The 26775-nt window shown below is 42.2% G+C and overlaps 1 protein-coding gene across 54 annotated transcripts in view; it reads right to left on the bottom strand.

The window, feature by feature from the left end:
* Window positions 1-589: 589 nt before the first annotated feature.
* The window catches only part of WASHC2C (WASH complex subunit 2C), a 65922-nt gene continuing 39736 nt past the window's right edge, over window positions 590-26775 (bottom strand). For 14 of the 54 annotated variants that reach the window (NR_159966.1, NM_001367393.1, NM_001367405.1 and 11 more), the window contains 11 exons: window positions 23936-24105; window positions 20196-20298; window positions 16129-16281; window positions 14419-14601; window positions 8861-8989; window positions 8653-8733; window positions 7923-8045; window positions 6307-6519; window positions 4063-4683; window positions 3021-3198; window positions 590-1293 (listed from right to left, as the gene is read on the bottom strand). Coding sequence is in view for 53 of the 54 variants with exons in the window: in NM_001367393.1 (NP_001354322.1) it covers window positions 1154-1293; window positions 3021-3198; window positions 4063-4683; window positions 6307-6519; window positions 7923-8045; window positions 8653-8733; window positions 8861-8989; window positions 14419-14601; window positions 16129-16281; window positions 20196-20298; window positions 23936-24105 (2094 nt within the window). In the remaining variant the exon portion in view is untranslated. Of the gene's footprint in view, window positions 1294-3020; window positions 3199-4062; window positions 4684-6306; window positions 6520-6879; window positions 6943-7922; window positions 8046-8652; window positions 8734-8860; window positions 8990-14418; window positions 14602-16128; window positions 16282-20195; window positions 20299-21796; window positions 21932-23935; window positions 24106-26775 lie in introns of those variants that run through there. The other 40 variants (NM_001367412.1, NM_001367398.1, NM_001330074.2 and 37 more) reach the window with 14 other exon arrangements.

The raw sequence follows: 26775 nt of genomic DNA, 5'->3' as shown, positions 1-26775 counted from the left end.
CTAGCAAGTGCCCTTATCTGTTATCACGTCACTCTCACAGCAGACTTGGGCAAATGGTTGACCTGTGGAAGCCGTACAAAATGTTTGACTCTGGGTATGAGTAATTCCCCTTCCGATCTTACAGTGCCCAAGGAAGAAGTAAGTAGCTCCACGATCGCTGAGACCAACCTGGGCGGCCTACAAGACTGTGCTGTGGTGACAGGCTGCATAGTCAGCAGCAAGACGACAGAGCACCAAAAAACACAGATTAGAATGGGGTCAGCCATCCAGGTGGCTAGTGGCTACTGCCTTTGTCGATACAGATAAAGAACATTTTCATTCCTGTGGAGTTCTATGGGGCAGTGCTGCTCTAGAGGCTGACATTTCCATCTTCAGCACTTCCCCCGGCTATTACCTAGGTTCATTCTGCTGCTTCCACAAGACAAGGATGGAAAAGGATGCCTTAGAGCAATGGTCAGCAAACTGTATATAAAGGGGCAGATAGAAAACATCTGAGGCTCTGTGAGCCATCCAGTCTCTGTCATAATCACTCAACTCTTACATTGGAGGTAGGGTGAGAGCAGCAATAGACAGTAAGTAAACAAATGAATGTGATTGTGTTCCAATAAAATTTTATTAACAAAATATGACAGTGGGGGGGCCACAGTTTGCCAAACTTTGCCTTGGAGGACATGCAGAGGCACCCTCAGAATTCAGTGAAAACCTGCTCCCATATTGCTAAGACTCATGAAGTATAATCTCTCATCTTCTTTCTCTTTCCCCTGCCCAAGCCCTAAGTTAGGGTTCCCATCCATATAACAAAGACTTCTGGTCAGGTGGCATTTGCTATCTCTGAGATTCCCTGCCCATGAAAGCCACAAAGAGATTTCTTCTTTTACACACCCTGAAGCATATTATGGCCCCAGCAAGGCTAACTAAATCAAACTGTGGTTTAAAAACAAAACAAACCAACCACTGTGAAATATTTATTTTTGTTTTGTAGTATTAAGCATGATTAAACCAGTGCAGAAAAATACTAAGTACATTGGGTAAAAGATGAGCTAGCTGTTCTAGTATTTGCTTTTTGTAATCCAGTTAAGACCATGAGCATATACAATATCATCACTAACTCAACAATGTAGCTGCAGGGTAACATGTGGATACCCTGTGTGCTCTACTGGCCTCCAAAGGCATTCAGGGGATCATCAAAGATGTTGGACACCTTGTGTTCAAATCTTGGTTCAGGTGCGGCCTGTGCAGATCGGCTTTTTGGTTTGGTTGTCTTAGCCTGGATACCAGTGGAGAAGATGTCATCTTTAGAAAGAAAAAAGAAAAACAGTTGCTGAAGAGGGGTGGAGAAAGGTACTTTTAAGACACATGCAAGCAAACCACCAAAGACCCAGCTCTCGTAACAGCATGGAGTACCCTAAAACACTAACCTAGAACTCAAGCCTCTTAGATTCTGGTTCTGTGTTTGTTACTCATTAAATTTTATGATCACACACAGGTTTCTCTTGGAGCACAATTTCTTCAGCTACAAAAGTGTATGTATGTGCGTGTGCAGGACAGAAAAAAGGGAAGGGTAACTTGATCTCCAAACCAGCCCACGCCCCTACCATCAGGGACAATGGACTTATTTAGATATTCTTTTCATACTGGGTTTTAAAAGAGCAATAAAAATATGCAAAGGGAAATCCAATATAGGACCCACCTGTTTTCTTTCAGAATAAATGCACTGATTTGAGGCATCTCGATGTAAGACTGTAAGCCTCCGTCACTGCATTCGTTTAGTGTTTCACTGACTCAAAAGCTTGTCTTATCTAATTATGGTAATTACCCAGTAATGTTACTGCTAGGGTTTTATCCAACCATGATTTTAGCATGTATACATAAAGTTAGGTGTACACAAATGGTAAAGACCACAGCATTATTTGTAATAAAGAAAACAGAAACAATCGAGATTGCCGTCAACAGGCTAATGGCTAAATATAAAGAAATCGTGCACAGCACTGAAAACAAGGAAGGAGATCTCTGCGTACTGACATGAAAAGACATTAAGTAACTAAAAGACAGAGCAGAATAGGGAAATATATTCTTACTTTTTAAAAAGGTGGGTATATATTGATGTGTACACAAACATATATTAATATCACTGTGTCTGAAAGGATACATACCAAACTGTTACTATTACCTCTAGGGGTTATTCACTTTTTACATTTTCTGAATTGCATGAATCTATTACAATAAGCATGTATTACTTTTTTTGTATTTAAAATAATGAATGAGTTCCCTTCTGCATTCCATGTGGTGGGAAGCAGGGGAGACAGAGCATACGGCTTGCTGGAGGCACAGAGCCAGTGTGTGGCTCTGCAGCACCAGCTGTCTCCCAGTTAGTCTAAAGGTCTAGATTGACGGGGGGAGTAGGAAATGTGTATGTGGCTCAGCCCACAGGATTTATCAAAAGTCCAATATTTAGGGTTCTCGGGCATTTGCCTTGTCTACTAATAAAGCAGAAGTTGTGCCATATAAGGAAGACAAGCTTGTTCCCAAACACCAAAGACCTCAGTGAAATGCAACGCCTGAGGTAGAGCCTACACCCAGGTCTAGACTTGCTCTCTTCTCGCACAGAACCATGGACACTCCCTGTCCATCTGGAGCTCTGACTCAACCAACCACATCACACCCAAGGCAGTCCCCTCAGCCTACTTTAGCACGTGAGGTCATTTCTGATCAAACCTCCTTACATAACATCAGGGTGTGTCACAGATGATTGGTGAGGTGCACTGAGATCAAAGTTAAATTATACTTAAACATCAAACTCTGGGTGCCTTCAAATTCTTTGATGACTATCATAGGAAAGAGTTACTTCACTAAAATAATTAGTCCATCTCTTACCTATCTTCAGCCTAACTCAGGATTACACTGAAGTGAACCCGCTGGGGTGCATTTTCCAGAAAAGGGCCAAGAAAAGGTAGCAGGAAAAATACCAAGTGATGGAAAGGTAAGAATTCTCTAGGTCAGATGTAGAAAACCAAACTTACCCATATCATCATCAAATATAGACTTGGCTTCCACTTTCTTTTTGGACTTTTCTTTTGGTTTTACAGTTAAGTCAGCAAAGATATCAATGTTATCATCAAATAAATTAGATTCCAATGTTTTCTCCTTCTCTCTGGTTTTCTGAGAGGGTTTAATTGCTTCCGTAGCAAATATATCATCCTTGTTAAGCCAAAAATACATACAAAACAATGTTAAATCAATTTTTCTTTTTAAACTCAAACACGTCAACAAGCTATGGAAATGCAATTGGCCAGGGTGTGTGGAACGGCCTCGAGACTGCCCACTCTGCCTGGGATGCACTACCCCAGATCTCTGCACAGCTTGGCCCGCGCATCTCACCCCGGCTCAAATGCCGCCACTGCAGTGACACCTTCTCTACCAGTCCTGCCTAAAGGAGCACCTCCCAGCCCTACCCACCACTCTGCCCCAGGTTACTTTCTTCATGACACTTAGTACTATTTGAAAACATCTTAATTATCCATTGCCCTGTTTGTATTTGATTATCTTCCCAGAGAGCTCTGAGGAGCCTAGCACTTCTCTGAGTTCACCTTGTGCCTGCAGTCCCCAGGTGCTCAATAAACATCTGCTGAGCAAATGCCACTGAAAGTCTTATTGCCTGCATGCACTACATTGTCAGCTCCAGCCAGGGCCAATGTCCCCAGAACCAGAGGTTAAACTCCCAAGCTGGACCAGTGGAGCTGTATGCCATGTCACCGAGTGGCATGCCCAGGAAGCTGATTACAACAATATTCTATAAAAATAAAAAAACTGTAAAAACTAGAGAAACCAAGATCAGTATCAATGATCATGGCCAGCCAAGAAATACATTCTACATGCAACAAAACAAAAAACCACTTCTGAATCAATGTTAGACTTATTAATAAAAGAGCCTAATTATAATTACTAAGCAAGTGGCTATGGGGTATGCACGCAACAAGCTAGACATAATCTATGGCTCAAATAAGCCAATCAGATACCTTCCTTAACTTAGAACAGACACAAAAACGTGTTAAGTCCTATTACCTCAAAAATATCTTGTGTTGTTAATATGACATCCTGCTGACTACTGGATTTTGTCTCATTCTTCTTGACTTTCTGATCTGTAAAGAGGTCATCCTCATCTTCCAGGAGAGGAAAGGGATTTGTTTTCTTTGCTGGTTTTGGTTTAGCAGACTGAAAGAGATCATCATCACTGCTGGCCTCGCCTAGAGCAGGAAACATGGGGCTCTTTGCTTTACCACCCACTGGTGGGTTGGCAGGATTCTCTGCTATCTTTGCCTTGGGTTTTGTTCTCTCCACGGACTGAGATCCAGTGCCCGTGGAAAAAATGTCCCCAGAATCAAAAAGGTCAGCCTCCCCTCTGGAATGACCCAGAGACTTTGCAAAGGGGCTTGTGTCCACTCCAGGCACAGGACCACCTTCCCAAGGTGCAGCGGCAGCTGCCAGGGCCTCCTCAGTGCTGTCTTCTCCACTGGCTGCTCTGAGCTGTGGCCGATGGCCATTTGGGGAAATGGCGCCATCAGCCCACTGTGCAATGGGTCCTCTGGGGACGCTCATGTCCTCAGCCTCGCTGGACTCCTGAGCAGCCAGCCGCCTAGCTGCACGGGTCTGCGGTCTACGCTTCCCTCTCATCTTGACACGGCTCTGCAACGGCAAAAAAACATACATTGATCTGACGATAAAATAAAGTGTTCAAAGCTACCATGGCAAAGAATCAGTGACTCAAAATATTGTAAGGTTATCTGGTCTACTTCAATGAAGATATTATCTAAGAACATAGAAGAGGTTATTTCTTAATGATTTCCAAGGAAGGAGTTTAATAGCTCCTAGTACTCCAAGACTAAGTCATTCTTAATCCTTTAGAGTTCTCCATTTTTTAATCTTTTCAGGGCAGTTTCAGTTCAGTTTCACACAAAAAGTTTCATCTGTTGCTGGAAACCTGGAAAGTAGGCATGTTGGCTCTCTGTGTCTCACAACCCCTCCCTTGGCCCCTACTCTACCCTCAACAGAAACGTGGGTATCTTTCAAAACAAGAAAGAATCGGGGAATTCTGGTACTAACCTTTGTTAGGGGGCTAGTCTAAATTCAGGCTCCAGGAGCGGGGAGAAACATGACACAATAAAGAGAGGTAATCTAAGGTGCTGTTTTCTTCAAGTCAATAAACATTGAATTCAAATGTTAAATATTCCACATAAGAAATATGGCTTAGAAATCAGAACTTTTCATATAATCTCAAAACATGAATCACTTAGTAGCAATGATGCAGTTTATGATAGTTTCCAAAATATACAATCAAGTAGAATTTTGAGAAGCTACAATCTACTCTGGGCAAAGTATGATTGTGTTGTCAACTTCAGGGGAATGTCACAATTTTAGTTGCCAATTTAAACTTAATAAAAAAAAAGCCAATGAAAATTGTCGTTAAAAGGAAGGCTGTTTTGTTTTGCACAAGGAAACAGGTTTGCAAACATTTGAAATGAATCTATTTGTCAGGGTAGGTCATTCTGTGTCCTGTCACTTACTTGCAGATCAGTTAAAGCTTTCTAGAGAAGGGAGACTGGATAGAAACAAGAAACCCAACTACAATGAAAGGAAAACTTCAAAGAGTTCACAGTCCATTGAGGAGATCCCATGAAACAGTGTCGCTGCTGTGGGAACTTGGTGCAGGGAGTGCAGGGCACAGTGACAGAAGTGGGGATGTGGAAGCACAGCTGTGGACAGAGAGGGGCATTCCTGGTGAGGAGGCAGCAGGAGCCTTGGGCAGCAGCAGAACAGACCATGTGTGTTCAGGGAGTGGCACCTGGTGTGCCTGGAGTCAGGCTGGAAAGTGTGAAGTGACTAGTGAGGAAGCTGCACACATGGGCTGGCACCGATTGCAAAGGGGTTTCATACCAAACCCAGGAGCCCGAATGCTCTCCTTGGAGTAGTGAGGAAGCGCCAGCAGGAGGGGCATGATCTGCTCTGTGGTTAGAAGACCCCCAGGTGGCAGTGCTGGAAACCTGCAGGTGTCAGACACCAGCCAAAGTGGTGAGACGTTACTGTGGCTACTGAGCAGAATGCAAATGTACCAAATGCAGGCCATGGAAAAGCAGGTGCAGGATGAGGGGGGTGGGGAGAATGGAGGGGGGAGCGGCTGAAGGAAGGATGAGGCACCTCCTTCAAAAGGAGAGTCAAAGACTGCTGTGTATGCAACTGATAAACTAGAAAGAAGCATATGCATGTTCTGGTTAAAAGAAGAGAGCAAGGAAGCAAAGATGGTTTCATCACCTTGTTTGCACTGTGTAAGGTGTCTGCCTGAGCTGGAAGATCAAAACTCACACCGGCCTCCCCACTCCCGGGAAGGACAGGCACACTTTCCAGACCGTGGCTCCTTCTGTGTTCAGATGAAGGAAAAGCCAATTCTGGCAAAACAGGCTTTACTTCAGAGATCTGGGAAGCCGCTGTGGGCAGCAAGGCCGCTGGGTTGATCGCTAAATTTGCCTAAAGAAGAAAAATGAAACTCTGTATTTGTTCTTCAACACAGCAGTCTATTATCTTTATTGTGACACATGACAAGATTCGGTACACATAATGTATAATACGAGAGGAGTAGAGAAACGTAGGAAAATCGCCCAATCTAGTCTCAGAATTAAAACAGAGCGTCTTACACCTATGCCCACCACTGGGCTCAAAGAATAGATGTTAAAGACGCAGCACACAGGAGACAACAACTAGGTGCAGGGGAGGGGAGGCGGGGGAAGAGATGAGAAGATGTTTGGCAGCAGCTGACAAGAGTAGGAAACCCAAAAAAGTTTATAGATGCCACAGGGCAGGCAATGAAGATTCCAGTGTTTTAATTACTTGTATCTTCCCGATCCGAGTGGATGGTTCTTTGGTTTTAAATGGAGCGAGACCTGATGAGTCCTGTGTAAGATTACATCCAGTTAAAAATCCATTTGGGAAACAGAAAGACAAGTGTTTCTTATGCCTGTAAATAAATCTGTGATGGAGCAAAACTGTCACTTTCTGTAGCTCTTTAATGGGAAAGGCATTCAAATCTCTCCTGGGGCCTGATGTTTCACTAGCACTACTTCACGTATGCCTCCTCCTCTGTCACATAAGTGGAAAGCTGCCAGATCAGATATGGAGTCAAGGAATACAAGATGAGTAAGATTCCCAAGAGTCACAGTTTATCAGAGCACCTAAAACTGACCAGCAGGCAAAATTACCATGTTGGTTATCAAATAGAAATTTCAAGGAGCACACAAAAATTCAACCATAGCCTAATGCACTGGCTCTAAAAGCAAAAGATCTGAGCCCCAGGAAGGGTCAGTGGTGATGTGTTCGTCCAAGTGCCTCAGGTTTACGGCTCAGGACACTAAGGCTTCAGTGAGACACCCTGGGACACCTGCACGTGGAACTGTCACTCGCTCTCCAGTCCTGGGCTGTTCCCAGGAGGAGCTCCACAGCGTTCTGAGAAGACTGCTGCAGAGTACGGCCCAACAGCAATGACCTCGGGAGAGGCAACACTGAGAGCAGGCAGGAAATCAGATGTAATTTATATTTATTTCTATTTTAATTCTATTCCAAGGAAATCCAGAGGGAGAAATAAATTCTTTAGTGGGAAGAAGATTCTTCATCCTACCTTAACTCCACTTCAGAGTCAAATCTGGCATGGCATCAAAAAACACTAACTATTAAAGTATAGATTCATGAAACTCTGGCGTGTGGAGTGAGGAGAGGGGAGATGACTCGGGGGAAGTGCAGTGAAGACAAAGCTGTAGCCCTGGTTGCTGTTTCCTCCTTAATGCAGACAAGTCTAAATAACTGTGGGTCTGCATAATGGAATTTCTCTGTACTGGGATGCAAACAAGAGCTGAAAATCCTTAAAGAGGATTTCTAACCTGAGGTGTTTCCGGCTTCCATATGCCTTTTTCTTTACTACCTTGAATGGATTCAGGATGTTTCTGGTTTTTGAAAGAGTTAACAGAGTGGTCTTTTTTCACTACTCTCTTTTTCTCTTGTACCTTCAAAAGAAAAAAAATACCAAAAAGGCATCAAATATCTTAGAAGTTTTAAGGAAAAATCATAATGCAAAAAACAATCCTGGCTTCTGAGTCTTAAAAATACTTTCTCAAATGAGGGCTGAACCAACTCAAAGGTAGCATTTCAGAAATAGCATTCTGAAGACTGTGGCTGTCACAGGAGTCCTCTCTATGATAAAAAGAAAACAGAGTACTTACAAAAACCTACTGGGGCTGGGGGAGAAAATGACATAGAAAGGCTAAAACTCAGATTCAAAGCTTTGCACCTGAAAGGCACGAATATTTAGCCACCCCAGTGTATGCAATGGTCTTTCAATCAACCATTTAAACATCACACAGATGTGTAGTACAGTCAGAGAGCCTGGATTATTAATGTTTTAATGTTAGTATAGGGAACATAAGATGAGGAACAACAGAAACTAAGCATTGCATCCTCCACACACGCTCCCCTCGGCATGTTATTTGCCATTCATTTAGCAGGAAGCAGCACGACTCTCCTAGGATTTTCCTTAATCATCTAACTGGACGTTAGTTTCCTTTCCCAGAATCTTTCCCACACAACCCAGTATTGAGAACAAAAGGCTGGTACCAAAGGCTGGGACTTGGCAGAGCTGAAAAGATCATCATCTTCATCATCCCCAAACAGGCTCCCAACACTTGGCTCTAACAGCTAGAATAAACAAGACCCAAGTTCAATATCCAAAAGCAAAACAATTTACAAAGAGAACTAGGTGAGCTGTTGAGACAGCACCCAATACAATAACAAGTCATACTGTGGGGAACCATTTGGAACTGACCTTGGTTTTTTTGGTGCCAGCAAAAAGGTCAACATCTGGGTCATTGTCCTTTTGGAGCTTGTGGCTGAAAAGCAGCTCTTCATCCTGGAAGACACCTGTGCTCTTGGGGTGGGCATCAGGATCGCAGCCCTGGGAACAGGAGGGAAGGTCATGTGTGATTAGAGCTGTAAGAACTTATCTCAAGGAAGTTACATATGTAAAGATGGACACAACAAAGATGTCCCCTGCAGCTGTATTATATTAGCAAAAGGCTGGCCACAGCCTAAAAGCCACTCAGTAGGGGAATGAAACATTGACAAAATGGAATGCTATGGCGCTTCCAAAAATACCAGAAAATATATTTATAAATACAAAGTTTACATATATATATATATGTGTGTGTATATATATATATATATATGTGTATATATATATATATATATATATATATATATATATATACACACACACACATATATATATATATGCACAAGCTTTAGAGATAATCTTTCCAGGTTATATATATTATATAAACTTCGTATAGTATCTAAATTTTTTATTAGAAAAGCAATCCATTAGTTCCATAATGAGAAACATTTTGAAGGTAAAAAACATACAACTGAATGAATTCTCTTCATCTCATTTCCAAAGGGAAGAAGAGACAGCAGCTGACTCAAGCACAAACTACACAGAGTGGTCAAGTATGTGTCCCTCACCTGTAAGCACTGCAGGCCAAAGACCTGGCACAGGTGCGACCACAAGCCTTCCTATGGCTGTCCATCACTTCTGCCCTACTTTCAGACCCCGAGTGAGTCCCTTTTTTGTTTACTAGATATCTAACATTTAAAAGTTACCATCAACATTATTGGTTTGATAATATAATGCTCCAGACCTGACATTCTAAAATTCATCCCTATTTCCTTATCACAGCCACAGATTAAAACTTAACAAAAAGGCCAGGCATGGTGGCTCATGCCTGTAATCCCAGCACTTTGGGAGGCCAAGGCGGGTGGATTACCAGAGGCCAGGAGTTCGAGACCAGCCTGGCCAATGTGGTGAAACCCCACCTCTACTAAAAATACAAAGATCAGCCGGGTGTGGTGGCGTGTGCCTGTGGTTCCAGCTACTTGGGAGGCTGAGGTGGGAGAATCCTTGAACCTGGGAGGCAGAGGCTGCAGTGGGCCGAGATCATGCCACTGCACTCCAGCCTGGGCAACACAGTAGGACTCCATCTCAAAACAAAACAAAACAAAACAAAAAAACCAAAAAAACTAATGAAAAACTTACTTCTAACAAAATAAATCACATTAACAATAATTATTATTGTTACATATAAAAATGAGTTTAACACAGCAAGTAATGTTAAATATTTCACAACTGTGGAAAAATATTACAAAACCATACACAGTAAGAGACTGGGAGAAAATATATCAAATTAATCATATTCACTGTGTGCAGCTCTCATTTATAAATAAGCTTATAGTATTGGTATAACAAAAAAATTCATATAACATTTTTTGTAGAAATAAACATAGACTATTTCTTTGGTTAGATCTATAAAAAGGATTGGCAATCTATGACCTGCCAACCTGGTTTGCATAACATCACCATTGAGATCAAATTCATATACCATAAAATCTACCCATTTACGTATAAAATGTAATGATTTTTTGGTATATTCAGATCTGTGTATCCACTACCACAATCTAAGTTTAGAATATTCTCATCACCCCCAAAAGAAACCCCAAACCATTAGCAGTAATTATCCATTCCTGCTCACTGCTACTCCCAGCCCCCAGTAACTACTAATCTACTTTCTGTCTCCATTGATATGCCTATTCTGGACATTTCATATAAATGGAATCACATAATATGTGGTCTTTCATGACTGGCTTATTTTATTTAGAATGTTTTCAAGGTTCATCCATGTGGCAGCATGTATCAGTACTTTGCCTTTTTTATTACCAAATAATATTCCATTGTATGGATATACTATATTATGTTTAGCCATTGTTTCCATCTTTTGGCTATTATGAATAATGCTGCTGGGAGCAATCATATTCAAGTTTTGTGTGAACATGTTTTTATTTCTCTTGGATATGTACCCAGGAATAAAATTCCGGATTGTGTGGTAGCTTTATGTTATAAGAATTTGAAGAACAGCAAACTGTTCTCCAAAGTGGTTGTACTGTTCCACACTTGCAGCAGCAAGGAATGAGAATTTCCATTTATCCACATCCTTACCAACACTCGTTACTTCCCTTTTTTTTTTTTTTTTTATTATGGTCCTCTTCCCGGGTATGAAGTGGTATGTCACTGTGGTTTTGGCTTCCCTGATGCTGAGCATCTTTCTATATCCTTTTTGGCCATTTGTCTATCTTCTTCAGTAAAATCTCTATTCAGATGTCTGTCTTACCTATTTTTTTTCAGACAGGGTCTCGTTCTGTCACTCAGCCTGAGTGCAATGGTGTGATCACAGCCCACTACAGCCTTGAACTCCTGGGCTCAAAGGACTCTTCTGCCTCAACTTCCCAAGGAGATAGAACTATAGGAGCACGCAACCAGGCCTGGCTAATTTTTAAAATTTTTTGTAGAGACAGGATCTTGCTATGTTGCCCAGGCTGGTCTTGAACTCCCAGCCTAAAGCAATCCTCCCGTCCTGGTCTCCCAAAGTGCTGGGATTACAGGCATGAGCCACGACGCCTGGCCTATCCCTTCTTTCAACTGGGCTATTTGTCTTTTTATTATTGACTTATAAGTCTTTTACATATTCTGGATCTGAGTCCTTTATCAAATACATGATCTGTAAATCTTTTCTCCCATTTTGTGGGTGGTCGTTTGACTTTCCAGATGGTGCCCTTTGAAGCACAATGTTTTTCATTTAAATAAAGTCCAATTTAGCTATTTTTGTCACTTGTGCTTTTGGTGTCTTATCTAAGAAGGCTTTGCCTAATCCAAGGTCATGATAATTTACTCACATACTCTCTAGATTCTAGGAGTTGTACAGTTTTAGTTCTTACATTTGGATCTTACATTGGATCTGAGTTTATTTATTAATGGGTCCAACTTCATCCCTTTGCATGTAGATAATCAGCATCCTGGCACATCTGCTGAAGACTATTCTGTCCCCACTGAAATATCTTAGCACCTTAAGCAACTGACTGTAAATGTGAGGGTTTATTTCTAGACTCTCAATTCTACTTCACTGATCTATATATTTTAACCTTATGCCAATACCATCCTGTCTTAAAGTAAGTTTTGAAATCAGGAAGTGTGAGTCTTCTAACTTTGTTCTTCCTTTTCAAGACTGTTGGCTATTCTTGGTCTCTTACAGTTCCATAAAAATTTTAGGATCAGCTTGTCCATTTCTGCAAAAAGCAAGCTGGAATTTTGATAGAGATTACAATAAATCAATTTGGGAAGGAAGTATTGCCACCTTACCAATATTAAGGTTTCTGGTCCATAAACACAAGATGTCTTTCCATCAATTTTAGGTCTTTAATTTCTTTCAATGTTTTGTAGATTTTAGTTTACAAGTCTTGTACTTCTTTTGCTAAATTTACTCCTAAGTATTTTACCCTTCTTGGTATTACTATAAAAGAAACTGATTTCTTAATTTCATTCATAAGCTGGTAATTGCTTATGAAAGTTACTACTAGTAGGTTGGGTGCAGTGGCTCATGCCTGTAATCCCAGCACTTCGGGAGGCTAAGGCAGGTGGATCACCTGAGGTCAAGAGTTCAAGGTCAGCGTGGCCAACACGGTGAAACCCTGTCTCTACTAAAAATACAAAAAATAGCTGGGCATGGTGGTGGGTGCCTATAATCCCAGCTACTCAGGAGGCTGAGGCAGGAGAATCGCTTGAACCCGGGAGGCAAAGGTTGCAGTGAGCCAAGATTGTGCCATTTCAATCCAGCCTGGGGGACAAGAGTGAAACTCCATTGCAAAAAAAAAAAAAAAAGAAAGTTACTAGTAGTAACTTTTGTAAGTTAGTAAATGTTCATTACTAGCTTACAGAACTACAATTGGTTTTCACATATTGATCTTACATCCTTCAATCTTAATGACTTTATTTCCAATGGATGTTTTTTGCAGATTCCTTAAGACTTTCTATATAAAAGATCATGCCATCTGCAAATACAGATTGCTTCATTTCACTTTTTCCTTTCCAATCTGAATGCCTTTTATTTCATTTTCTCACCTACATGGCTTGCTTAGAATCCCCAGTACAAGGTTGATTAGAATTACCAAGAGTGGACATTGTTGTGTTGTTCATGATGTTAGGGTTGAAAAGCATGCAGTCTTTCACCATTAAGTATGATGTCAGCTGAGGGATTTCATAGATGTCCTTTATCAAGTTCATTAAGCTTCCTCCTATGCCTAATTGAGTGCTTTACCATGAAAAGGTTTGGATTTTATTAAAAGCTTTTTCTGCATCTGTTGAGATGATCATGCGCCTTTTAATTCTGTATTTTATTGATACAGTGCATTATATCAACTAATTTTAGATGTTGAACCAACCTTGCATTCCAGGGGTAAATCTCACTTCTCATAATGTGCAATCCTTTTTATATTTTGCTGAATTGGGTTTAGTAGTATTTTTGTTGAGGATTTTGGCCTCTACATTCATAAAGGATATCTAGCTTTCTGGTGATGTCGCTGTCTAGTTTTAATATCAGGGTCATACTAACCTCACAGAATGACCATCATCTATTTTTTTTTTTTTTTTTTTGAGATGGAGTCTCGTTCTGTTGCCACACTGGAGTGCAGTGGTGCGATCTCGGCTCACTACAACCTCTGACTTCCTGGTTCAAGCAATTCTCCTGCCTCAGCCTCCCAAGTAGCTGGGATTACAGGCAAGCGTCATCACGCCAAGCTATTTCTTGTATTTTTAGTAGAAACAGGGTTTCATTATGTTGGCCAGGATGGTCTCGATCTCTTGACCTTGTGATCCACCCACCTTGGCCTCCTAAAGTGCTGGGATTACAGGTGTGAGCCACCATGCCCAGCTGACCATCACCTATTTTTATTAATAAAACTTACTGGAACACAGTCATGCCCATCCATCTTCATGTTTCCTAGGGCTGTTTTCATGCTGCCAATGGCAGAGCTAGGCAGTTATGACAGAGCCCAAATAGGCTGCAAAAGCTAAAATAGTCATTATATGGTCCTTTATAGAAATAGTTTGCTGACACCTGATCAGTATGAAAGGTTCATCTACAACACTTTTTCTTAAACTGAATGTTAGAAATACTTAACTGTACAGCTCCAGCCTAACTTCCCTTTCCTGCTGTTTACATCCCACAACTGGCCAAGGGGCAAAGTTTTGCTAGAAGGAACAACAAGGTCTGTAAATCCCAGAAGAGGGGGGTGAAATTCTAATCCCCTATCCTAACACTGCTACTTGAGGTAAGAGTTCCTGATTAAGATTCCCAAATATCTAAATGACTGCACAGAATCATTAACACACTACATTGAAGGTTAAGATTCCTTCAGAAACTCACATGACAGAATGACAACCATGAGATGAGAGTCTTTTATCTCATCCAGAGACTTGAACCACTACTGCTTTTTGCTTACCTTTCCTACTTCTTTCTGTGGAGCCTGGATAATGTTTTGATCTTCCATTTTATCCTCTTCCTCATCAAACAAGCTAAGAACAGTTTTGGTTCTAGGCTTGGTTCCTTTGTCCCATGGGGATGATGAAGAAAATAAATCAGAATGCTTGACTGTTTCCTGAGCAGATCTAGTCAAAAGTCCTTCCTGAAAATGAAAATAATAGGGGGAAAAAATAAGTAACACCTGGAAATACAAATCCTATCATGGAGCCTGCCAAGCTTCTCGTTAATTCAGTAACTGCCACATTTGCATGACTCAGGGCACAGTGAATCACATCTGTGCCCAAGTAACAAAACACTGAGGTCAATTCTTGATTGGCTGCTCCAAGAGACAGTCTTGTACAATCATCCGTAGCCAAAGATAACTTTTCCAAGCATTAAGACCATGGGTCCCTCTCTCCTATCAAGTGATAGGACGGCTATAATCCTGATGCACACTGGTTGCTCATGAACTAGGAAGAACTTCTAAGTGTCAAAGATAACCAATACAAGTGCCAATCATTGGGAGTGGACCATGAATTCGTAGCATTTAACTAATACATAAGCCCCAAGGGGGAAATCTAATCAGGAAAATCAGACCCTCAAATTGTAAAAGGCTTACACTGTATAGGCAATTGAAGAAGAATCTCTGAAATAATTCTAAAATGCAGTATTTATTCATTCAACAAATGGCACATTTCAGGTAAGATACCATTGATTATGAGGTACATCCCGATTTCAGAGTACTCAAACTATTAAAAAAATGCTTCTTTAAAGAAATACAAAGTTTATAACATAGTGCCTACTGTGTGCAAGGTAATATGCCAGTACTACAGATATGATGGTGAGCAAAACAAACTGGGCCTAGTCCGCAAGGGGCTTACACTCAGGGAGAGGGCAGTACAGCAACCAGTCAGAGTCAAGTGTGGACCAGGACTGGGATAGGACTGGGGTCCACACACAGCCACTAGGAAGAGAATTTCACACAGGAACACAGGTACAAATGAAATGCTTGTATCACTGTAGCTCCAAGGAGCCTCAGCAGCAAATGCAAATGCAACGCTCTTCACACAGGCCCTGGGAGATCTTAGACCTAAGCAGCTGGACACACAGCGTATAAGAAAAGTTAGAGAAAGAAAAGAGGCATATAGAGACTGAAGGCAACCACAAAGCTGGATGCCCAGGTGTGGCCAGCAGAACTACCCACAGGCCTCCTGCAAGAGACGGCAGACCGTCCAGGACTTGAAAGCTAGTGTTTTAGAAAGAGTAGAAATTTCACTCTACTCTGTAATCCTTGCCAATATCATCTAAAAGTAAAAGGATGCTAAACTAAAATCTCCTTAAAACTGACATTTAAATTCAAGTGCACTTGGGGACCAAAGGAGGACCAAGGGTAACAGGAACACTGCACAGAAGAGAACAAGTTAGAAAGCAAAGATGCCATGACGTGACAGTAACCACAGAGACAGGAGCAGGCACACCACAGTGCGCACATGTCTTGGAGAAGGGCCGGGAGGAAAGGCCCTGCAGAGGCTTCCTGCACTGTGGGGACACAGCCTGCTTGTCTATGTTTTCAAATCTGTCTACAAATGGGCCATTTATTTTCTGTGGTCAAAAAACTTAAGGGGTTGGGTGTGTTTGAAACAACATACGAGAGACAAATGCATTCAAGTATACAAGAAAAAAAGTCCACCTTTTCTGACTCAGCCACATCAGTTCTCCCAAATTTTAATGACTCCTTGGCACTCTCAACCTTCTTATCCACAGACTTCACTCCAAGTTGTGCCTCCTTCTCTTCTTCATCGCTGAACAGCAAAGGTGGTGCCTCAGAGACAGTCTCTTTTTTCTACCAAAAGAAGAGTACATGACATCCACAACAATAAAAAAGTGTGTCTGACCAGCATGGCCATATACAGAACAAGCCCAAACCATCCTCTTAGGGCTTCAGCTAAATGTGATCAAGGAAGAGAGGACAGGATAGTGAAGGTAGCACCAAAAGGGAGAAGCAACAAACACCACCACCCGGGACTTGTGGACAGGACACTTCACGCCACCATATCACCTGTATCTGTCTACTTGTGTCTGTCAACCCCCATGCCTCCCTCCCTCAGATCCTTATCTCTGCCACCAGACGATCATGAGTCTCTCTCTCTGCCTCACTCCTCTTATATTTCAACTAGAAGACATTATCCAGCGTTGTCTTGCTAAAACAAAACACCTGCTGGATCAGGTCCTCTCCCAACCCAAACCAGCACTCCTTGCATGAAGCAAATGACACTCAGCAGATACCCCATTCTATCCCTCTACTCATATGCATCTCCTCCTTTCCCTGCTGTTCCTTAAGGTCGCTGCAAACTTTCAAACTTCCATGCCACGCTGCCCTCGATGTCTGTAGGTGCAAATCCTCCCCATCCTTCAAGCAGGGCCCCCACGCAGATGTCACCCACGGTCTCTGTCCTCTTCAGTTAAGTGTCAGTTGCTTTGTTGAATAAGCATAATATTTATCTCTCTACTTGACCCTTCCTTGACTTTCTTCCTAACTTATATAACAGCTAGCACACATCTGTTTGTCTGTTCATCTGAAAGGACTATACACTATATTTTCATGGACAGTCCCAGTGTTTTATACCAACTCAGTGTTCAATACAAGTCTGCAAGCACTTCAGCCCATTTCTCATCTCTTCCTTATCAGGGAGGCAGGGATTTGGGGACTAGGAAACTGAGGTTTGTGACTTTCCTGGAATTCATGGCATTTTTGCAGCAAGTGACTTATCAACAAGTGCTTGAGAAAAAACTAAAGCTCTATTATAGTATAGTACAGATACAAATCATACCATATGACACGAGGAAGTGTGCTTTGAGGCAATGCCTAAATCAAGTTAGGAAGGCAGATTTGGGAAACTAAGGAAGGACATTGCTAATCATGATTTTAAAATGTGATGAATGAAGAAAGAAGAGAGCAAGGGGATTTTTAGTTAGGAAGAGATAAGTAAAGTGCAAAACCATTGAACTTGACATAAAAGAACACTGGAAGGCATAAAGAATTTCAGAAGAGATAAGGCAACACTGAAGTGATCAAAGGAAAAGGCTTTTGTGGAACATCCTGGACTCACTGAAAACTACATAAAAATTCAGTGCAGGCCGGGCACGGTGGCTCACACCTGTAATCCAAGCACTTTGAGAGGCCAAGGTGGGCGGATCATGAGATCAGGAGATCGAGACCATCCTGGCTAACAAAGTGAAACCCCGTCTCTACTAAAGAAATACAAAAAATTAGTCGGGCATGGTGGTGGGTGCCTGTAGTCCCAGCTACTAGGGAGGCTGAGGCAGAATGGCGTGAACCCGGGAGGCGGAGCTTGCAGTGAGCCGAGATGCGCCACTGCACTCCAGCCTGGACGAAAGAGCAAGACTCCGTCTCAAAAAAAAAAAAAAAAAAAATTCAATGCAAATAGTTGATAGGGGAGACAAAAAGAGACTTAAGTATGGCAAATCATATTCTTCCTTCATATATAACTAAGGTCCTTAAACCACAGAAAATGCTACCCAAAGTACCAGTTTTAATCTTCTTGAAGACAAGCTCATCCTTGTCATGAAGTTTACTTCCTGTTTTTTTCTTTCTTTTTTTTTTTTTTGAGATGGAGTCTCACTCTGTTGCCCAGGCTGGAGTGCACTGGCACAACCTCAGCTCACTGCAAAATCCATCTCTCAGGTTCAAGCGATTCTCCTGCCCCAGCCTCCCTAGTAGCTGGGATCACAGGCGTGCACCACCATGCCTGGCTAATTTTTGTATTTTTAATAGAGATGGGGTTCCACCATGTTGGCCAGGCTGGTCCTAAACTTCTGACCTCAGGTGATCCACCCACCTCAGCCTCCCAAAGTGTTGGGATTACAGGCGTGAGCCACCGTGCCTGGTCAAATTTACTTTCTTGATAGGTGTCAGAAAATAAGGAAAGTCTGAAGAAAAAAAAATTGTCTAAAATGGCTGCATCTTGGCCATATGGGTAATAGAAACCGGGCCTATGAACGAAAGCTGAACCTCACCTGCAAGGCCAGAGTCTGTCAAATATCACACTGACAGGCACCGATTACAACCTGCCTATTGGATGAAGCACAAAGGCAGCACAAAATCAACCATCCCTCTCCTGACCCTGCAACTGCGACCCCTATGTACTCATTAGGGTAAAAGGCTAATGAGGAAAATACATTAACCACATATTTACTTTATCTTATATTCAATGTCATTGAGCACCAATCTGAATTAAGAAAGTCACCGTTGCTTCACTGCCCCCTTTTCCCATTTTCTATATAACAGAAATGTATAAATGCTGTGTCTCGTGTGGCCCACTCTGGGACGCATTCTCAGTTTGTGTGGAGTCTCTTTACTGGGCTAGTAGTTCTCAAGCTTGGCTCAAAACAAAACTCACATTACATTTCTTTAAGTTCTCCTGCCTGTGGTTTAACCTTTTGGTCAACATAGGCTTACAACCAAGTCACAATTAACTTACACTGAAATATCTGTAAACAAGAAATATCTTTTATTTACTATTGTCTAAAGATGATTATATTTCACAAATAATCAAAAACGTGTAGGCTATTCAGCTACTTAAGTTGTGTGTCTTGACCTTTTGTTTTATTTAACAATCATAATTACCATAGGTTGAAAGAAGTTTTACAGCTCCAGAGGCTCCAAAATTCATTAATTTATTGCTCAGTTATCCTCCAGAGTAGTTTATTTATAATTTACAAAGAAAAACCAATCAGATCTCCTGACTCCTTTAATTGTACAACCACTGGATGTCCTTAAAGGGGGAGATGTAAGTACAGAGCACCCAAGGAAAGGCTCAGGAGCCCCGTAGAAGCAGCAGCAGGGAGCCTGGGGCCCAGGGTGGGCAGCATGCTGGCCCAGGGCTGAGAGCTTCTGGTATAAGCTGAGCAACTCCATTTAACAGGAAGGGTCTTCTTCCATATCTCCTAGATATTTTTTGTTTGGAGTTTATTTCTAATTCCACAGTAATGCACAAATGCCTTCCTTAAAAAGGCTTTAAAAAGGCATTGAGAGTATGAAGTTCCCCATTCCATACCTTTCCCTGGACATAATCACTGGTAACAATGTGCTATCGATGCTTTCAGGCCGGTTTCCAGGCATTCATGTGTATTTCTTGTTTTGTAAAGTTTAAATTACACCATGTTTACGTGTTTACGCTTTTTTTTTTTTTTTTTTTTTTTGGCCTGCAGTATGTTTTTCATCCCAATAAGCTCCACCCTGGGTTTTTTTTTACCACTGTATAGTATTCCACAGTCTAACTGTACTAGGACCTGTGTGACCATTTCTCCACTGATGGAGTATAACGGCCTCAAGGTTCATGCATTTTGTAGCACATGTGAGAATTTCCTTCCTTTTTACTGACTGGCTAATATAAACCAGGACCAGTGTTAGTACTCGACACACACTCATAAAAGGAATGATTTTGCCTTAACTGGCCTAGTCTAATGTTAGCAGAATTCCATGCCAATGGGGCCCAAGCCTCTTCTGAGACCCAGTTCCTTGTGCCTACACCTGACACTGAATGATGGCTTTGCACGTGTGCTTCTTCTGTAGAATACTATTAATCAGAAGATCTCTTTCTGAAACCAGGCAAATAAGGTCTTCCATAAGACTCAGCCTCCAAGGTTAGGTATGAAGAGCTGATTCGGGGAAGTACCACTACTGATGCAGCATAAACTCAAGGACATTTCCTGGGACTAAGAGATGAAGAATACCTTTGTTGCAGGAGGAACAGATGTGGGAGGAGAGCCAAACAGAGAGCCTCCGCTATCAACATCGTCTTCAAAGAGGAGTGACACTCTCTGGGTCTTCTTTTGGCTACACAAACAAACAAAAGGTCAAATTAAGGAAAAGTGTGATGAAAAAAACAAAAACCATAACAACAATATTTCTTCTAGACTGCACCTACAGGAATCCACCTACCACCCAAACACCCAAGCCATTAGTTGACCTTACACAGTTGAAAGCAAACAGGAAAGACCTTTGAAATAGATGAAATCTGACTCCAACAAATCACCAGCCTCTGTCCCTCCTGCCTCAGGTTGCCCCTTTCCTGTTACTATCCAGTGCAGGTTCATCAGCTGTTACCGCTGCAAGGCACACGATGCCTGAGCCTTCCCAAGCAGAACATTCTCTCCCACTTCCTATAGCACAAAAAGAATCAAAGCGGACGTGCCTATTTCCAGAATTGTCATGAAGACGGTTGCCAAGAGAGATCACAGGGCCAGGATTAGCACTGGGAAATGACCCTGTGCCTGGCTTCTATTTCTTTTTTTTAGTAGCGTTATCGAGACATAATTTACATTCCATAAAATTCACCTTGTATTTACTCTATTTTTAATATTTATTTTACTTTTTAAGACAGGGTCTCACTCTACTGCCCAGGCTGGAGAGCAATGGCACAATCATATCCCACTGCAGCCTCAAATTCCTGAACTCAAGTGATCTCCTGCCTTAGCCTCTCAAGTAGCTACGACTACAGGCACACGTCACCATGCCTGGCTAATTTTTTTACTTTTTTGGAGAGGTGAGGTCGCTCTATGTTGCTCAGGCTGGTCTCAAACACCTGGCCTCAAGAGATCCTTCCACTTGGCCTCCCAATCAGTTAGGATTACAGGCATGAGCCGTTGCACCTGGCCAGATTCACTCTTTTAAAGTGCGTACACTTCAATGGTTTTCTTAATCCAGATTCACTCTTTTAAAGTGCATACTTCAATGTTTTCTTTAATATACTCATCGAGTTGTGCAATATCACTACAACCTAAGTGCACAACATTATCATGACCCCAAAAAGAACCGCCATGCCTATGAGCCATCACTCTCCATTCCCCCTGCCCCACAGGCCCTGGCAACCACTAATCTACTTTCTGTCTCTGTGGTTTATCTATACATTTCATATAAATGGAACAATACAATATGTGGTTTTCTGTGACCAGCTTCTTTCAAGTAACATAAAATTTTCTAGGTTCATTCATGTTCTAGGATGCATCACTACTTTATTCTTTTTTATTGCTGAAGAACAGTCTATCGTATGGTTATACATTTTGTTTATCCAGTCATCAGTTGATGGACATTTGGGTTGTTTACACTTTCGGCTGTTATGACTAAGGCTGCAATAAACACTCATGTACAAGTTTTTATATGAACAACTAATTTCATTTCTCTTATGTATATACATAGGAATGAAACTATTATGTCATATGGTGACTCTATGTTTAACATTTTGAGGAAATGCCAAACTACTTTCCAAAGTGACTACACCATTTTACGTTCCCACCAGCAGTGTATGAGGGTTCCAATTCCTCCACATCCTCACCTCAACTTCTTCTTGTGTGTGTAAAGCTTCTTTTGAGATCTGATGAAGGTATGAATTACTTTCCATACACAAAACTTGACAGACAACTTCGGGAACAATAGGAGGTAGGATGTATCTGGAGCAGAGAAAGCATTCCTGAAAGCCAGGTATGGTGTGTGGCTGGAACCAGGACCCACAAACAAGATGGGGTTCAGACTGCCAGATTTATGACCTTGTGTGGGGTGGGGGTAGTGGACACTCATGGGAATAAGCTAACCTGGATACAGTGCAGAAAATGCTCAGCTGAGGGTGTTGGGGTATGAAGGTGGAGCCATGTCTGCCCTCTACTCCCTATTTCTTCTCTTTCTTGTCTGTTTAAAGTTAGGAAAGGCCTTTTTTTTTTTTTTTTTTTTTGAGATGGAGTCTCTCTCTGTTGCCCAGGCTGGAGTGCAGTGGTGAGATCTTGGCTCACTGTAACCTCTGCCTCCCAGGTTCAAGCAATTCTCCTGCCTCAGCCTCCCGAGTAGCTGGGATTACAGGTGCGTGACACGACGCCCAGCTCATTTTTGTATTTTTAGTAGAGACGGGGTTTCACCATGTTGGTCAGGCTGTTCTTCAACTCCTGACCTCGTGATCTGCCTGCCTCGGCCTCCCCAAGTGCTGGGATTACAGGCGTGAGCCACTGCGCCCAGCCGGGAAGGCTTCTTAAGAAACTTACACTTAGTTTTGAAAGAAGGTGGCCAGGCAACACAGGAAGAAGAATGTCCCAGGAGAGAGCAACAAAAATAAAGGAATGTACTATTTCCCTGCAGTCACGATGCTAACTGGCAATACCTGAGGGCTCAGAATGTGCCAGCTCTTGTGCTCAGCGTTTCACATTTAGATTCCACCTCATCATCCCAACAAACCGATGAGAGAAATGCTGTTTTTATTTTTGTTTAACAAATGAGGAAATTGAGGCACAGGGAAGTTAGGTAACTTGCCCAAGGTTATTCAGACAGGAACTGGCAGAATCAGAATTTAATATCAACTTTCCAGAGCCTATATTCTAAATCAGAGACCAAAGATGCATCCGAGTGTCAAGTTACAGAGGCCTAATGCAGAAATGGTGATGCTTGACAAGATTCGAGTATTTGGAGACAGAAACCTGAGGTACTTCTGAATCTATCAAATGACGCTTAACCACACCAAAGCATAGGATTTACATGTCCAATCAGTTACTTCTTTCTGCTAATAACATTCAGGTGAATTTCAAAGTAATCATGTCAGGCTTTCAAAAGGAAAAAAAGTATTTGCAGGGAAGTAATTCTGAACCCATAAGCTAATCTGGCAGCATGTTATACCAACCACAGCCCACGCTCACTCTGAATATCCTAGCAGCTTCAGTTCCAGCATTAATGGGGAGAGGCACCTAGGTTGGCTATGGGTTATCAGCCCCTGGAGTGATACTGCACAGCTCTACAGGGAACTTCCTCCTAACAGGATGTGTTAAATGCTGAGCAGATTTCTATTCAAATAACTTTTTTTTTTTTTTTTTTGAGATGGAGTCTTGCTCCGTTGCCCAGGCTGGAGTGCAGTGGTGCCATCTCAGCTCACTGCAACCTCCACCTCCCGAGTTCAAGCCATTCTTCTGCCTCAGCCTCCCAAGTAGCTGGGACTACAGGCGCGTGCCACCACACCCGGCTAATTTTTATATTTTTTTAGTAGAGACAGGGTTTCACCATATTGGCCAGGCTGGTCTTGAACTCCTGACATCGTGATCTGCCCACCTCGGCCTCCCAAAGTGCTGGGATTACAGGCGTGAGCCAACGTGCCTGGCCTAAAGTAACTTTTAAGTAATCCTGACCAAACCTGACATACTTTAGAGTAGCCCAGAGAAAAATCACAAACAAAAGATACTCAAATCCCTGACAAACAAAGAAAAAGAATATGGTTAAAAAATAATGATTGGGGAAGAAATCAGATAAGGATCCACAAAGACAAACATTTCCGGGTACTGAGGGAAAAGATGGTGCCATTGAAAAGCAAAGACATTCTCACTGGCACAATCACTATGTGATCCATGATTAGCAATCACCCGATGAACTAGATTGTGCATCAGATTCCTTTTCTTGTTACCACGGTAATGGAGTGAGGGACTCCTTCCAATGACTATCTCACCTGTCCTTGGCAATGGCAAAAAGATCATCTTCTTTGTCTTCCTCAAAGAGACTGGTCTTTTTCACAGCCTTGGCCTCCTGGCTCTGGAGGGTCCCAGAATCCCTGGGTTCTCCTTTAGACCTGCTGTCAGATGCTAAGTGGGTCTGTGAAGCAGGAATATTCCACTGGTCCTTAAAACATAAAATATATATTAAAACTCCAGGCCAGGCGCAGTGGCTCATACCTATAATCCCAGCACTTTGGGAGGCCGAGGCGGGTGAATCACGAGATCAGCAGATCAAGACCATCCTTGCTAACACGGTGAAACCCCATCTCTACTAAAAATACAAGAAAATTAGCCGGGCGTGGTGGCGGGAGCCTGTAGTCCCAGCTACTTGGGAGGCTGAGGCAGGAGAATGGAGTGAACCCAGGAGGCAGAGCTTGCAGTGAACGGAGATCGTGCCACTGCACTCCAGCCTGGGGGACAGAGCGAGACTCTGTCTCAAAAAAAAGAAAAAAAACTCCAATGGCAATTTAGATTATAAAACATGGGGAGTAAAATCAAACTTATATTTGTTAAACTAAGTTGTATTTAAACTAAGTATTAAACTTAGTGCATCAGTCTTGAAGAAAGCTCATGCTTAAGACTTTTCTTTGAACTCAAATCTAGACAGCTGGGCTCTCTGACCTCACAGAGCTTCTCATGATTTCCTCCTCCAACACCTGCCACGATGTCTCTTCCCAATGTGGTTCTGCACTGTATTACAAGCGACTTGTCTATTTCAGGGAATCAACATTAATTACAGAGGCTATAAGAAGGAAGCCAAATGTAAAAATACCAAGAACTCAAGAACTTCCAACTCCAGAGAAGAATATTTTAATTTTAAAAATCCTAAAGCAGATTGAAAAAAAAAGTGTAAAAACTCACGCAACACACATGTGAACAAGACACAATGAAAAACTGCTAGTAATCCTTTTACCACAAGTCTGAATGTGGCCTTTAGAAAGCATTTAAGGGAATTCTACTCAACTATGCTCACACCCCTTCAAATCAAAGAACTCCCAAGCACTTGCATAAGTGCTCTATCTCTGGAGTCTAGAGTCTTGCAAACCAAACTGGAGTCCACAAGCCAGCAGCAGATTATGCAGAATTTCAGGCCCCGCCCCTATTTTCTGAATCAGAACCTGCATTTCACAGGGTGCCTGGGTGATTTCCTAAACATGAAGGTTTGAGAAGTGCTCCTCAATGTTTAGCAGTGACTAAACGCTGAAATCCACTAGAGAGTATCACAAAACTCCAATGACGAGGCTGTACCCCAACCAGATTAATTCAGAATCTCTGGAGCTGGGATCCACTGTCAGCACTCGTTAGGTCTTCTCTTTCTTTTTTTTTTTTTTTTTTTTTCCTTTTTCGAGACAGAGTCTTGCTCTGTGGCCCGGGCTGGAGTGCAGTGGCGCGGTCTCGGCTCACTGCAACCTCTGCCTCCCGGGTTCAAGTGATTCTCTTGCCTCAGCCTCCTGAGTAGCTGGGATTACAGGCAAGCACCACAACACCCAGATAATTTTTGTATTTTTTAGTAGAGACAGAGTTTCGCCATGTTGGCCAGGCTGGTCTCAAACTCCTAATCTCAGGTGATCTGCCCACCTCCTTGGCCTCCCAGAGTGCTGGGATTACAGGCGTGAGCCACTGTGCCCGGCCTGTCAGCACTCTTTTAAGTTCCCCATGGATCCCAATGAGCAGCCGAAGTTGACAGCCTTTGTTCTAGGACAAGCTTGTCCAACCTGTGGCCCATGGGCCACACACAGCCCAGTATGGCTTTGAATGCGGCCCACCACAAATCTGTAAACTTTCTTAAAACATTATGGGATTTATGCACGAACCTTTTTATTTTTTTAGTTCGTCAGCTATTGTTAGTATTAGCGCACTTTATGTGTGACCCAAGACAATTCTTCTTCTTCCAGTGTGGGCCAGGGAAGCCAAAAGACTGGACGCCCCTGTTCTAGAACCTTGGCTGTCTTTCTTCTGCATGTCTTTTTGCTCCAAGCTTTAGGTAATGTTTTTATTTTCCCTGAACCACTATAATACTCTAGTAGGAGCAACTACACTGATGTCTGGCTGTTGCTACAGGGGGAACAATCACTGACAATGTTTAAAAGAAAAAAACTGGATAATCTATCATAAATTCATACATTTGAGTAGAAAACACAAATTATATATGCTTGGGAGTTCCTTGATGTGAAGGCATGAGCACAGCTGGGTGGGAATTCCTTAAACGCTTTCTAAAGGCCAGACTCAGACTTTTGTAGTAAAAGGATTACTAGCAGTTTTTCATTGTGTCTTGTTCACATGTGTGTTGCATAAGCTTTTTTTTGAGACGGAGTTTCGCTCGTTGCCCAGGCTGGAGTGCAATGGCGTGATCTCGGTTCACGACAACCTCCATCTCCTGGGTTCAAGTGATTCTCCTGCCTCAGCCTCCTGAGTAGTTGGGATTACAGGCATGCGCCACCACAACCTGCTAATTTTTTTGTATTTTTAATAGAGACAAGGTTTCTCCATGTTGGTTAGGCTGGTCTCGAACTCCCAACCTCAAGTGATCTGCCTGCCTCAGACTCTCAAAGTGCTGGGATTACAGACGTGAGCTACCACGCCCGGCCGCATAAGCTTTTAATACATTTTTTTTTGCAATCTGCTTCAGAATTTTTAAATTGCTTTCAGTAAGGACATGAACATATCTATGACTTATATATCCACTTCACCCCCTACTAACTTGCCTACAATGTTAAAAAAAAGAGGAATTATTATAACACAGGAAGATGTTTAATACTCAGGATTTTTTATATCATCATATTTAAAGTCTTTT

The sequence above is a fragment of the Homo sapiens genome, chromosome 10 (genome assembly GCF_000001405.40).
Source record: "Homo sapiens chromosome 10, GRCh38.p14 Primary Assembly".
NCBI lineage: Eukaryota > Metazoa > Chordata > Mammalia > Primates > Hominidae > Homo > Homo sapiens.
The sequence above is the reverse complement of the archived record's forward strand: the minus strand, read 5'-3'. Positions and strand labels throughout refer to the sequence as shown.